This window comes from Homo sapiens, chromosome X, assembly GCF_000001405.40.
Source record: "Homo sapiens chromosome X, GRCh38.p14 Primary Assembly".
In the NCBI taxonomy this organism is placed as follows: Eukaryota; Metazoa; Chordata; class Mammalia; order Primates; family Hominidae; genus Homo; species Homo sapiens.
In genome coordinates, this window is record NC_000023.11 from 108,165,163 (window position 1) to 108,178,669 (window position 13,507).

Below are 13,507 nucleotides of genomic sequence, written 5' to 3' on the forward strand. Positions count from 1 at the left end.
TGGGGTCCTAGTGCCCAGACTTTCCCAAACCATTTTAGCAAAATGCACTTGGCTCAAGTCCCCTGTGTCCCCACTCGGGGAGGGATGTGAAGCCAAACACGCCCACATATGTCCAGCAACAGGGACTTGGCTGCGCTGTATACATGACTTCCCCAAATGTCAGACAAAAGGTGGTGGCTAGCCCTCTTTTGGGCTTCCTGTCTTTACCTCGTTCTCCATCTAGGCCTGGTCGCCCGGGGTCACCAGGCTGTCCTGCTATGAGTGAGGGCAAGGAGATGCCTGGGGCACCGGGGAGACCAGCAGGGCCCTGGAGACCTGGGAAACCTGTAAAGAATAAATAAAAGGGGCTGGATAGGCTCTGTGTGCCCAGAAGATGGCCAGGCTCTTTCAGAGAAAATGGAAGCTCACACAGAGAAAATGGAAGCAGTTAGGTAGGAGCCAGACCAGAGAACGCCAGCAGAGGGCTCTTCTTCCCTAATCCTTCCTTCCCAGAAAGCAGACTAACTGACAAGGGCTCAGAGACTCCCCTTTTCCAGCTGGAGCTGCATTTTATTGGAAAGTTCTAGCTCCCTTACCTCACTGGTAATGGAAATATTTTAGGCCAACTTCCCCCACACCAGAAAGAAAAGAAGGCATGACTGAGCACCTGGACTTTTAAGTTTCCAAAGTGATTTTAAACCTGTCTGTGTCAAAAAACACCTCTTAAGTTAGCCAGTTATGTCTGATGCTGCACAAAGGTTACAGAACGTAGGCCACAGGCCCCAGCCAGTCAGAACAGACACCAGGCCGATCAGAATGGAGGCAGCAAGAATGCGGTGCCTCTGTGTCTTCTAGGGCTATCTTCTGCAATTTCTAGGCAAACTGGAAAACAATCTTTTATAGGTCATTCATGATATGAGCCAAGTGATTGCTTAATTGCCTATGGAACAAATATCTCTGTACTAAATCCCTCCCCCCTTTTTGGCCAAAGAGAATAACCACTTATTACAATAGATACAGAATACTCATTTGCTCTAATTTTAATACTGCTTTACATGTTTTCTGTTTGTGGAACTATTTCTATTGTAATATGTTCAAAACCAAAACTTTCATCTGATCACAGAAGATTTATTTAATGTTCACATATCAAATACATAGATGGTAATCTTGATGGGAAAACACAAATGTAGGTGTTGATATTATACATGTAGCATGGAAGATATATATTTATTACTTTGGGATATTCTAGAAGATATTCAAATGAAGATAAATGGATTCAAACTGGTTGATAAACTGTTCTGGTGGTTGAGATTCTTAATTTTTGTTTGCGACAAGAAAATCCAAAAATGTTAATATCGAATTTTATCTTTTGTGACAAGAAAAATGCAAAAATATGCTGAATTTCTCTTATTAAGGTAAATCCATGAAAATTTATAAAAGTGATGGTAGATTTGGGTGTTTTTAAATAGCTCATTAATTAATTGAATCTTGAAATTTAGACAAAGAAAAAATAAATTTTGAGAAAAGTCTCTCTAGGTTTCTTAGGTCCGGAAAAAAGAAAAAACACAAAAAGAAAACTAGTAGCTAAGCCACGTGGTGGTACTCATAGCATTGTTACTTCTGGTTTGGTGAACCTTTGAAATATTTTTCTTTATCCCCAGGGTAAAAATCTGAAAAGAAAGACATATTGTATACTTTTTTTCTGAAAATACAGCTCTACACATATATTATGTATATATACATATAAAGCATATATATGTATAGCTTATATATATAAACTGAAATTATGCAAAACTAATAAACAAGACACCACATGTGTAATAGAGTAGGCAGTGGTGGGCAGTACACAAATTATAAAAGTTCCCATGGCAGTTTTTGGAGACTTTTTCTCCCTTTACCTGTTTCTTAATTTTATAATTACACTTACGTGTTATTAAACCTGAAATAAAGGCACTACTGACTTCAAGTATTGCAAAAAGCTCATGCATTTCTTTAACAATAAAACACTTTAAATGAGCAGATGAAAATGCAAAACAGCCCATTTTTCCAACTCAGTCCAGTGTCAAAGCCTTGAAAAAACAAAATACATAAATGCAGCCTCTACGTATTTAGTGCAAATATGAAAACAAATAGTATCATTGAAAGTTATTTAGATAACAGTACTGTAATGAGAGGGATTGCTCTATGAAGTTTTTTTATTGGTTAGTTTGTTTGAGATAGGGTCTTGCTCTGTTGCCCAGGCTGGTGTGCAGTGATGTGGTCAGGACTCACTGCAGCCTCAACCTCCCAGGCTCAAGCAATCCTCCCACCTCAGCCCCCGAGTAGCTGGGATTACAGGCGCACACCACTATGCCCTGCTAATTTTTGTATTTTTTGTAGAAACAGGGTTTTACCATGTTACCTAGGCTGGTCTCCAACTCCTGGGCTCAAGCAATCTGCCTGCCATGGCCTCCCAAAGTGCTAAGATTACAGGCATGAGTCACTGCACCCAACCACTCTGTGATGTTTTCTTAGGAGTAAATCATCATATTGCACTGACTCCCGTTGTCAAATCAAAGATAGGTTCCTGTGGGGGTGGGGTGGGGCGTGGTATGATATTTCTTGTATTCTTTTTAAAGAAATTGTTTTAATTAGATATTGAGAAGATATGACATAATATTTATAATATGCAAAGAATAATTCAGATACAATGAACACTTGTGTTTCAACCACTCAACTTAAGAAGATGTCACTTGTTTTGAATTTCCTTGTGTGCCCTCCACCCTCTTCCTTCCCTTCCTCTCAGAGGCAATCACTCCTGAATTTTGTTCATCATCCTCTTCCTTTTTCTTCAGTTTGACCATGTATATCTCTAAACAATGTATTGGTTGGTTTCGCTTATTTTTGAACATTTATTGATGGAATCATACCAAATGTATTCCTCTGTGACATGTTTGTTTTTTGTTTAGTGCTATGTTGCTGAAATGTATCCTTCTTGACCTGTGCTGTTTACTACATGCATAATTGTGATTTTATTATCTCAGATAGCTAAAGAAAATGAATAATCTAATGACCATCAAGATTTGAAAACAAAAGAAAATGTCCCTGTGTTTTTATCCAGTCCCCTTTTCCCTATATCCCATGAAAGAAGACAGTCTCTGGGCAGGCTCGGACCCTGCTTTGAGCCCTTCCTCTGGAGAAGCTGCTGGCTTTCAGAAAAGAACAGTTTGGTCCAGATCAAAGGGAAGAACAAACACAGAAACTGCAGATGCATCAATTTAAAATGCAGCAGGAAATGAATTAATATATGAATATAGTCCCTCGGAAACATACACACTGTACACAAACATGCACATAAACAAAATGCGGTGAGACCTCAAGCCCCAGAGCAGAGAGAAACAGGAAATTTTGCAAATATGATTTCCCCAGGTAACATGCAATAATATTCTTAAGTATATACTATGTGCCAGGCACTGAGCTTTTGTATATCTTACCTCGTTCCTCATTGATTCCTCAAAAAACCTATGAGGTAGGTTCTGTTATAATGTTCATTTTATGGAAAAGGAAAACTAAGGGCTCATTTGGGATTGAGGAACAAGTAACTTCCTTGTTTAAAGTCATATAGCTAGTGAGAGGTATAGCTTGAATTTGAACCCAGCTAGTCTGATTTCAGAGCCCATACTCTTAACCATGATGCTATGGTGAATTCATTTCCTGGTTAACATGGAGTGGAATGTACACGGGTTTTTGGAACTTTCCTGAGGAAAAGTTGAAGAACACAAGTCATTCTTACTTTCTGAGAGGTGGGGAAAGGGAGACTCAGAAAGGGACTTCAGGCCATGTGATGAGTCAGGGGCCGAGATTAGGGTAGAACCTGCTTTCTAGTAAACCCAACAAATTCTAGTTGAGGGTATGCTGTGGTTCTGTCCGGTGGAGACTTGTATCATCTTAGTCTTGGGATCCTTCCCGCAGCCACACTGTCTTCCCAGGGCCCTGGGAGTGCCATCCACACTGGACGCTGAGGAAATGCCAGCCAACCTCTCACTAAATGGACAAGCCCTGTCCCTCAGGACCAATAATTGCAAGCTCTGACCAAGCATGCCAGAGAGGCTTGAGGTTAGTAAGGAGGAACAGAAGAGAATCTGGAGGCTAAAATGGACTTGGTGAACTGTGCCCTGACAGTCTTCACTGGAAAATGCTAAGCACAGCCTAACCTCTCTTTCTCAGCAGTCATTCCCACTGGGTTGTGAGACTCCCAGAGATGTGAAGACACTCACAGCCCAACCCTGTGAGCCACATGGCCCTGCTGTACCCTAAACCTGACTCTCCCAGCAAGGCCTCACTCAGCCTCTACAAGGCCTGACTTGGACTCACCTCGATCACCTTTTTGCCCTCTCAGGCCCGGCTTCCCTGGAGCTCCGATGCCAATTCCTGGATATCCTTTTTCTCCTTTGGGTCCAGGGAGACCAGCAGGCCCAGGCACACCGGTGATACTAGGTCCTAGGAGGAGATGCAGGGGTAGGGGGCAGACCTCAGTGGAGGTGAGGCCTTCCTGCCTAACTCACTCGCCTGTGGCCTGAGAAGCCTGACTGACAGACACCAGAGGCAGAGTACTGAAGTAACAAGAAAGAAAGTTAATCTGAGTAGAAGAAAAAAACCCATCCTCTTTCTTCTCCATATCAAGGGACCTCAAATTGGAGGTTAATAAGGAGAGCTATGAGTCCAAGGATATGGGATACACCACAGTCGAGAATTCATGGCCAGCCCTTGCCAGGCTTCTGGAAGAGCTGATGCCCTCCTCTTCACCCTGAGGGTCTTCCTAACCTGGAGTGCCATGGGTACCCTTGGTGCCCGGAAGCCCATTCAGTCCATGTAAACCAGGAAATCCAGGGAAGCCTGAGGGGAGAGAATGTCAAAAATGGCTCCAGCAACTCTGAATCATGAAGCATCAGCAAGAGGTAGCTACCTGCCCCCAAAGGCATTGCGAGGTCCTTATTTTAAAGTCCTGGTCTTTTTTGAGGCATTTACTTAATGCCCTAAGGGAGAAGAAAACACTCCCAACCTATATCCTACACCACAGGTTCTCATGACTCTTATCAGAGACCAATACAGCTTTAGGAGTAAGATGGCAGCTCATTAGGTATCTTGAAGAAGAACTCAGAGTAGCAATGTCAAGACCTTGAGTTGTCAGCTCCCAGAGACTGGTTCCAGAAACTCACTGCCCAATCTCTAAGTCAGGGAAAGGCTACACATGCCAGGGCAATTGCCTTCCTTGCTAGCTCTTCTCTTCATGGATCCCATATTCTTCTCTTCACACTCATGCTTGCCTGCCTTCATTACTCTTCATCTTCCTTTCCCATGATTCCTCATGTCCAATGACTCCTGTAGGCATGGCTTAACCCTAGCTAGTATCTTCTAAGATAAAGTAGTTGGTGTCCTTCATCGAGGGAAAGACTTTTCCCCACTGCCTGCTCCCAAATACACATACCTTTGGGTCCTATTAATCCGGGGGATCCTAGAGGCCCAATTGCCCCTTGGTGACCAGAAGAACCTGGAAGTCCTGGTTCTCCTCTCATGCCGGCAACTCCTGGAAATCCTAAATGTGAAACCAAGGCAGAGGTTCAGAATGGGGCATGGCTTGAAGCTAATCCAAACTCTTTCAGAATAAGGTTATCATGTGGCATGGTACCTGGAGCTCCAGGAAGGCCAACATCTCCAGAAACACCAACTTTTCCATCTTCACCTTTGTTTCCAGGGAAGCCTATATTGCCTATTAGTCCATCTCTTCCTTTTGTGCCTATAAAACCAAGAAAAATGCTGAGTGATTAGGCCATATTTCTAGCAGTGTATTCCTCTATGGGAAAGAGTAGATTCTGAATTGCTGAAGGAGCTAGACCCAATGAAGAAACTCTAAAAAAGATAGTGGTGGCTGTTTTCACATTAGAAAGGTGCCCTACAATTGAGAAGCAAGTAAATTTGTTATGAGTATCCCTTCAGAAGTGGGAGCAATAAGTGGAAATGTTCAAGAAGGACAGTTTAGATAACAACTTCTAAACTAAGGGGATGTAGGCCATTATCCCAAAGGTCTTTGCCAGTCTATGAGTCTTGAAGGAAGAGTAGGCTGATTTGCTTGGGGAATTGATAGATAGGAAATTTTCTGCACTGGATAGAAGTTGCAGAACTTGGGGTTGACCTCCAAAATTCCTTCTAATCCTCAGTTTTGTGGAGTCTGTGAGGCAAACAAGACAAAAATATAGCAACCTTACCTTTAAAACCAGATTCGCCAGGCTGTCCCTTGGGTCCTGGGCTACCGGAAATTTCAACTGTCTGGCCGTTGTCTCCTGAGGATTCCAATACATTGTTTAAATGGCCAGGAGAAGCTATAGCTCATTTTGCACCACTGAGATCTTTTGAACACATTTTTTTTTTCAGATTCAGTGTAGCCAGAGGAGCTCCTTGACAAAATTATCTATTGGGTAAAAAGTGATGAACCACCATCCAGGAGCTGGGATGCTGCTACCAGACTACTGGCATGAAATGCTGCTACATACAGCATATCTCCATTGGGAAACACATCACTAGGCTCAGTATGGGCAGAGAAGATGGTAGGCAGGGCCCTCAAACATCACCAGAATGGAACAGTGATGCCAGCAAGAATGGGAAATTTTCCTGCCTAGTGGGCTGGGTTTATCAGGGGAAGAGACTGGAGCCGAGGTTCTCCTCGCTGCTAAGTCTGGAAAGCAGATGGGCAAAACCACAAAGCCAAAGGACAGCCTTTTCCTTGGATCCATGAAAGCCACAGAGAGAGATCTTGGTAAGTACCATTGTTTGTTGCATTGTCTGTGAGGAACAAGGACTGCAAAAGGGGTTTGGCCAAAGGGAAAATGTAAATTAATTGACTTTCCCCTAAACACAGACTCTCCGCTACCCTCGCAAGAGACCCTTGGGATGGCCAGGTGCAGTGGCTCACGCCTGTAATCCCAGCACTTTGGGAGGCTGAGGTGGGCAGACCACGAGGTCAGAAGTTTGAGACCAGCCAGACCAACATGGTGAAATCCGTCTCTACCAAAAATACAAAAATTAGCCGGGTGTGGTGGTTAATGCCTGTAATCCCAGCTACTTAGGAAGCTGAGGCAGGAGAATCGCTTGAACCCGGGAGGCAGAGGTTGCAGTGAGCTGAGATTGCGCCACTGCACTCCAGCCTAGGTGACACTAGGTGACAGAGCGAGACTCTGCCTAAAAAAGAAAAAAAAAAAAAAAAAAAAAAAAAGAGAGAGACCCTTGGGCCTGCTAGAAATCTACCTTGCTCTAGAAGAAAACATTAAAAGAAAAAAAAAATGCTCCTTACCTTTCAGGCCTGGGAGACCAGATGCTCCTGGGAGTCCAGGCGACCCTCTGATACCTTGTGAACCCTTCGAAGCAATATGGGAATCATCATTTCTGCCCAGAGCTCAGGACTGCCCACCCTCTTACTTCCTCACCCCTCACTGAGCCACTGCCTGAGAGATGTCCATCATGTATTCTGTGGCAAGGGTGGACTGTGGGCTGGAAGTGGGGATGTTATGTCCTGCAAACGGGAAGGTGATGAACAAAGGGCAGAGCACATACTTAGGGTTTGTAGGGGAAGGATTCGATTCCACTGCTTATCAAAATGGGAATCTTAGAAAGTCACAGTGTGGCCATTCTAGCGAGTCTCTCAGAAAATGCAGAAGATGACAGGCCAGGCACTCAATGGACTCAACACACAGTTGGCTACCACTGTCCTTGCCAAAGCTCTGGAGCCATTATGCATAGGAAGAAGTTTCACTTCACCCTGCAGGGTTAGCCCTCTGCCACAGGTTCCGCAAGGAACACAAGTTCTTTCTGCCACCAGGTAGCAGGTGGTATGTGTGCAGGTGCTGGAGTCTGAATTTGGGCAAATGTTACCATTTTCAGAGGAAAATCTGCCTTCACTGGCTAATGTCCAACACACTATCTGAGTCTGGGAAGTGGCCATGTCAGCTGCCATCAGCAAAGTTCTTTTCTTGATATCTGTTATGGTTTTGGTTCATTTTGAGATTTACCCAGTATCCAGTAAAGATTTATGCCACTTAGTGCTTTGGGTAGGAGGCTGAGTACTGGGCTGGGTCACTGTGTGCACTGGACCACTACCCAGGACACCCCTCCATCGTGGCTGCTTCCTTGCCCGGCTTCATCAGGCACATTGCCATATCTTCTAATTCTGAGCCTCTGTTCATGCTGGGACTTCTCCTAGAATGCATTCCCACTTTGTTTTCATCCCCCTAGAATGTAAGTAGTCAGGACTATCCAGTCTAGAACTATTTATTTTCAATTGCTTCAGGTGTGTGTGTGTGTGTGTGTGTGTGTGTGTGTGTGTGCACGCACACACCAAGTTCTCTCCATCAGATGGACTGACACTTTTGAAGTTCAGGGACTTTGCCTGCAAGGAGCCCAGGTGTTCTGTGATTCAATTCATTGAGACCATTTGATACATCTGCTATTTATGCAGAGCCGGCTATGTGCCAGACACAATGTTAAGAGCTTTACATGAGTCATGTCACTTAACCCTCCCTACTGTCTGAAGGCTATTTAAATATTATTCCCAATTTTTACAGATGAGGAAAGTGAGGTTTAGGTAAGGTAAACAGTGTGCACAAGATCACAGAGCTAATGAGCAATGGAGCTGAGGTTCAAATCCAGGTTGGTCTCATTGCTAAGCCACCTCTTCCACCTTGCCTTGTATGAGCCCAGATAAGCTGGACTTGATTCTTTGCTAGTCGTTGCACCTTGTGGAGCTTCAAAGACCTTTCTAGCAAAACGTCAAGAAGTTTTTACGAATTCTTACAATGTGCCAGGCTCAACATGAAATGCTGGCAGTGGGGTGCAGAGAAAAAAGCATGTAAGGTAGTTCTTGTTCTCAAGCTGTAACAATCTCATTGAGGAAGTCAGACCCACACAGAAGCAACTAGAATTGATGTCAGCAGTGATAAGTATAGAGTGGCAGCTGGGTGGGAGCTCAGGGACTCCTGGAGGAGATGGTGCCTGGGCTGGGGACTGAAGGGCAGGCAGATATTGGATAATTGTAAAGGCAAGAGAAGGCTCTGCCATTTCAGGGAGATGTGAACAAAAGAACAGAGGAGGAGATGTTCAGGAAAGGGTGGGAAGACCTGTCAGACTCAAGGAGAGAACTCTTTCTGAGGATGTCCTGGGAGAAGGGGCTGAGAAGTAAGCTGGGATCAGAGAGGTGGGCAGTGGGGGTATATCCCCGTGAGATGGGGGGCCTTTTCTGGTATAAAGACAAAGATCTGGTCACACTTACACTTTCTCCTGGCATTCCTGGGAAACCTGTGATCCCAGAGGACCCCTTCAGGCCAGGTAAGCCCCGGATTCCCATGAAGCCAGGGGGCCCTGGCTTTCCACTAACTCCTTTGATAATGCCTGGGAGGCCAGGAGCTCCAGGTAGGCCTGGTGGTCCAGGTCGACCAGCCTCTCCTTTGTCACCTGTAAAAGAAATAAAAAGACTTGGAAAAAGACACTGGGCAAGAAAAACCCAGCTTGCCAAGATGCAGGTGCCCCAGGTCGCAGGCCAAGTGCAGGCTCAGGGAGCAGTTAGCTTAAAGGTAAAGGTGAAGTGGGGAGAGATGCTTTCAGTCTTATGGGGCATCGACAGAGTTGCTTCTGCTATACCACTGGGAAAGCAGCACAGTGCTCAGGGTCCTCCAGGGGTACCACTGCCTGTGGTTGAAAACCTCAGTTCTACAGTGGCAATAACAAATGGCAGTCTCAAAGTCCAGGCAGCCTTCAGGCCCAGGGGAGGCAGCCTTCTTGGATTCCTTGCTGCCAGCCACACTGCTGCTCTGAGGTTGGCGATGGGGGGCTGTACTTGAGGGCCTTTGCTCAAGAAGGAAGCCAAGTTTGGTTATGAAGCCTCTCTTGAGCATTTCTCCTATCCATCCCCTGCCCCAGCACCTCTTGGCCCAGGAAATCCATTGGATCCGGCTGAGCCTTGAGAGCCTTTGTCTCCTTTGAGCCAAAGGTTTGACATTGGACGTCTTGGACTAGGTATTCCGACTGGCCCCGGATTGCCTCTGTCTCCTGCAGGGATGGAGATCAGCATGAGAAAGAGAGCTTAGACGCAGGGTCAGGCAAAGGCTGACCTTTCACATCATTTCTTCCCATACCACCACAGCCCTCTTTTGGGGCCTTTCCATCTTATTCCCCACCCCTATTCCCCCAACTTCACATTTCTGTGTATGTCCTCTTCTACAAATCCCAAGTCTATCAGCAACTTTAGACTCTCCTCAAATCCTTCCTCCACTGGTCTTCCGGGAATGGGCACACATGGCCTTTAACATGCAGTGTTAACTAAGAGGGGATTAAGTCTTTTGGTTTAAAAGGACTTAATTCAGAAGCCCAAATTTTTATTATCTAACATAGATTTGGTACAAACCACAGGAATAACCAAGTCAACAAACAAAATATATATATTGAAAAGCATGGGCAGCAGTTCCAGAATTCAATTCCCCAGCTCACCCTTTTCACCAGGAGTACCAGCACGTCCAGATGGTCCCATTTTTCCAGTTGATCCTGGAATTCCTTTTAATCCTCTTGTTCCAGGAATACCAGGCAGACCTGGTATTCCTGGAAAACCTACGAATCCAACAGACCCCTTCTCTCCTGTTGAAAAACAAGAACTTTTATTATCACTCCCATTTTACATACCAGGAAATGGAGGCTCAGGGAGGTTGAGTAACTTGCCCAAAGTCATACAGCAAGGAAGTTGCAGAGAAGGAATTCAAACCCAGGTTTCTCTAATTCCAAAGTCTTAGTCATTACCAAACTCTTATTTATTACATATTATACTACCTTCCTGAATAGGGACATGGCACTACACAATACAAAGGAAAGAAGTGGGCTCCTCTCGGCCGGGCACAGTGGGTCACACTGTAATCCTAGCACTTTGGGAAGGTGAGGCGGGTGGATCACCTGTGGTCAGGAGTTCGAGACCAGCCTGGCCAACATGGCAAAACCCCATCTCTACTAAAAATACAAAAATTAGCTGGGCGTGGTAGCGGGTGCCTATAATCCCAGCTACTCGGGAGGCTGAGGCAGGAGAATTGCTTGAACCTGGGGGGCAGAGGTTGCAGTGAGCTGAGATCGTGCCACTTCACTCGAAAGAGCAAAACTCTGTCAAAAAAAAAAAAAAATTGGGCCCCTCTCTTATGATTCACCGAGTTATAGCTCATGTGTGATACAGGAAAAAAAAAAAAAGCCTAGGGCCAGGAGGCAAGGAGATGAGCTTTAGCCTCGTTCTGCTGCTAACCAGTTGTGTGACCTTAAACCACTCACTTTCCCTTTTTTTAAATGGAGATACCACCTGCCCAACTACCAATGGCTATCAAGGCAATCATAGGAAGTGAGTGCTATCAGCCTCCATGGTAGGACTATGCAAATGAGTAAACCCAGTGTGGCTGGTACTGCCCAGGGTTTTGCTGACCATGATACTCAGCCTAGTGTTCCACCCAGCAGGCAGTGAGGGTGACTCACCTTGACCAGAGGTCCCCCTTTAGCACTAGCCTTGTCCAACTATCTTGACACAAAAAGCCCTGTCCAAGTCCCTCCCCATTTCCCATTCCTAGGCAGAGAGGAAGGAGCAAGCTGCGCAGCTGAAATGCTCCTTTTTGGCAACCACTGGTCACTTCACTGATCACTTCACTTACCCTTGGGTCCAGAGAGGGCTGGCAACCCAGCGACCCCTGGAGAGCCTGGGCTTCCTTTCAGTCCTACTAGGCCTGGATTTCCAGGAAGGCCTTTTAGCCCTGGCAGCCCTTTCTTTACAATTGATCCAGGAGGACCTTTCTTGCCTCTTGTTCCTTTCTTTCCAGGATGTCCTGAATAAGCACAGGAGAGAACACAGGACAGCTGTCAAGTGAGGCTCTGGCCAGATCTGGGCCACTGCCTATATCATAGCTTCTGATTGGTTTGGCTTGTTAGGTTTTGTAAATGGCCCTTTAACAATAGCACATGCAAACTGCTAACAGGCAGAGTTCTTAGTTGGCTGAAGCGTTAGCATCTACTACCCAGAGTGCCACGCCAATGGTTATTACTTCCAGCATGGCACATTAGCTGGCAGGGAGAGCAAACCCCTTCTGATTATAACTTTTTGTCTCTTTGTGAATGTGGTTTACACTTTAGCCCCTGAATGGAGCTCTAGGAAGCCAGGGTGGCAAGTAGGCTCCAGTTTCCTGGTACTTCCAGTCTGAATCACGCCACAATGGCTGTTTCCTGAGCCAATCGGTGAAGTAGAGGTTAAAGCTGAGCTGTTGTTTCAGCCTCCCAGGGAGCCTTGGATACAGGGCTGCCCTTTTAATCCCTCAAGCAATCAGTTAAGTCAGCCAGTTCCTTGGCATTAAGGTTGAAAGACCCCCTAGTGCCAAGTACTGTAGAAACCCACAAGGCCCATTTGGTCTCCTAGGTATTCTGAGACGTCTTTCACCACGCTTTAAAGTTGGTCAATGGGATTAACCTCCTGAGCTGCTGCCAAAGTGGAATGTTCAGGTACAAAGCAAGGAAATTAAAAAACGAAAGGATTAAATCATGACGACAGAGGTATTTGGGTCCCCAAGGACCCAAATGAATGGCTGACTTGGCTTTCTATGGATTGAAAAGCATCAAGTAGCTGCAAGCCCCAGGATTCAAATGGGAGGCTGTGAAGGGAACTCCACAACAAGGGAAAAATTCAATGGGAGCCAACCCCACAGCAGGAGCTCAGGGATCCCTGGCCTTGTAAGCAAGGCCATGTTATAGTGTATAATCAGATACATTCCTGAGTGGCAGAGCCATTGGGGGTGTTAGTCTGTGAGCTTGTGTGCTGTGTTTTCTCACTGAGGCAGCCTATGTGAAGATCTCAGAAACACAGAGAGACAAAGGGAATAAAAAGGACATTAATGGCTCTGCAAATAACTCAGCTTCAGTCACTAGGCCAGGAGTAAGGGGCGGTTGGGAATGGTGCAGTCACCGAAGCAGGTTGAGGAGGGTGGTGCGAGAAAAAGGCAAAGCTGCAAACACGAGTCTGGAAGCAGCAAGTGTCAGGCCCCACTGCTGAGTAAAAGACACTTGGCCATGGGTCCTTGGAGGCATGCTCGCCTGAGAGGCAGGCTGCCGGTGTGGTCACACTCTGCTCAAGCTTCTCCCCAACCAAAAGCAGGCTGCCCACAGCACCAGTGAAGGCATGGAGATGGACTAGACTCCCTCAACGATGAGGGTGGCTTCTCTAACTGGGGAGGTCGGGAGAGTTGAAACCTGAAAACTGGGCATGAGGCCATGGAGGAGGCGGGGGGAGGGGAAAGATTTGTGGCAACAGTTTGGAAGCTAACCTGCAGCAATCTGTTCTGCTTGGTACTGCAAGGGTGACTTGAGATTTGAAACTTGAGAGCTTAGGAAAGTCAAGTCTCATTCTAAATTCTGACCATGTCCCACTACTGCTATTGCCCCCCCAGGGCATCTGGGCCCAGGGCCTAGCTGAAGTCTGTCAAGGTGGGACTCTTCC

General features: G+C 45.9%; 1 protein-coding gene across 16 annotated transcripts in view, besides 3 other annotated features; it reads right to left on the reverse strand.

The window, feature by feature from the left end:
• Nucleotides 1-13,507, reverse strand: part of COL4A6 (collagen type IV alpha 6 chain) — a 283,845-nt gene that overhangs the window by 9,549 nt on the left and 260,789 nt on the right. For 5 of the 16 annotated variants that reach the window (NM_001847.4, XM_006724617.4, NM_033641.4 and 2 more), the window contains 11 exons: nucleotides 11,679-11,849; nucleotides 10,492-10,635; nucleotides 9,928-10,053; nucleotides 9,278-9,459; nucleotides 7,307-7,370; nucleotides 6,225-6,299; nucleotides 5,648-5,755; nucleotides 5,447-5,554; nucleotides 4,783-4,854; nucleotides 4,333-4,458; nucleotides 208-324 (listed from right to left, as the gene is read on the reverse strand). In NM_001847.4, coding sequence (NP_001838.2) covers nucleotides 208-324; nucleotides 4,333-4,458; nucleotides 4,783-4,854; nucleotides 5,447-5,554; nucleotides 5,648-5,755; nucleotides 6,225-6,299; nucleotides 7,307-7,370; nucleotides 9,278-9,459; nucleotides 9,928-10,053; nucleotides 10,492-10,635; nucleotides 11,679-11,849 — 1,293 coding nt within the window. Of the gene's footprint in view, nucleotides 1-207; nucleotides 325-1,091; nucleotides 1,650-4,332; nucleotides 4,459-4,782; nucleotides 4,855-5,446; nucleotides 5,555-5,647; nucleotides 5,756-6,224; nucleotides 6,300-7,306; nucleotides 7,371-9,277; nucleotides 9,460-9,927; nucleotides 10,054-10,491; nucleotides 10,636-11,678; nucleotides 11,850-13,507 lie in introns of those variants that run through there. The other 11 variants (NM_001440759.1, XM_011530854.3, NM_001440760.1 and 8 more) reach the window with 4 other exon arrangements.
• Nucleotides 11,346-12,032: an enhancer, noted in NCBI's record as "NANOG-H3K27ac hESC enhancer chrX:107419738-107420424 (GRCh37/hg19 assembly coordinates)". NCBI's record gives its function as "activates a minimal SCP1, AML or CMV promoter by ChIP-STARR-seq in primed H9 embryonic stem cells {active_cell/tissue: H9 hESC(primed)}" and the evidence as "EXISTENCE:reporter gene assay evidence [ECO:0000049][PMID:30033119]".
• Nucleotides 12,033-12,717: an enhancer, noted in NCBI's record as "OCT4-NANOG-H3K27ac-H3K4me1 hESC enhancer chrX:107420425-107421109 (GRCh37/hg19 assembly coordinates)". NCBI's record gives its function as "activates a minimal SCP1, AML or CMV promoter by ChIP-STARR-seq in naive and primed H9 embryonic stem cells {active_cell/tissue: H9 hESC(naive and primed)}" and the evidence as "EXISTENCE:reporter gene assay evidence [ECO:0000049][PMID:30033119]".
• Nucleotides 12,718-13,403: an enhancer, noted in NCBI's record as "OCT4-NANOG-H3K27ac-H3K4me1 hESC enhancer chrX:107421110-107421795 (GRCh37/hg19 assembly coordinates)". NCBI's record gives its function as "activates a minimal SCP1, AML or CMV promoter by ChIP-STARR-seq in primed H9 embryonic stem cells {active_cell/tissue: H9 hESC(primed)}" and the evidence as "EXISTENCE:reporter gene assay evidence [ECO:0000049][PMID:30033119]".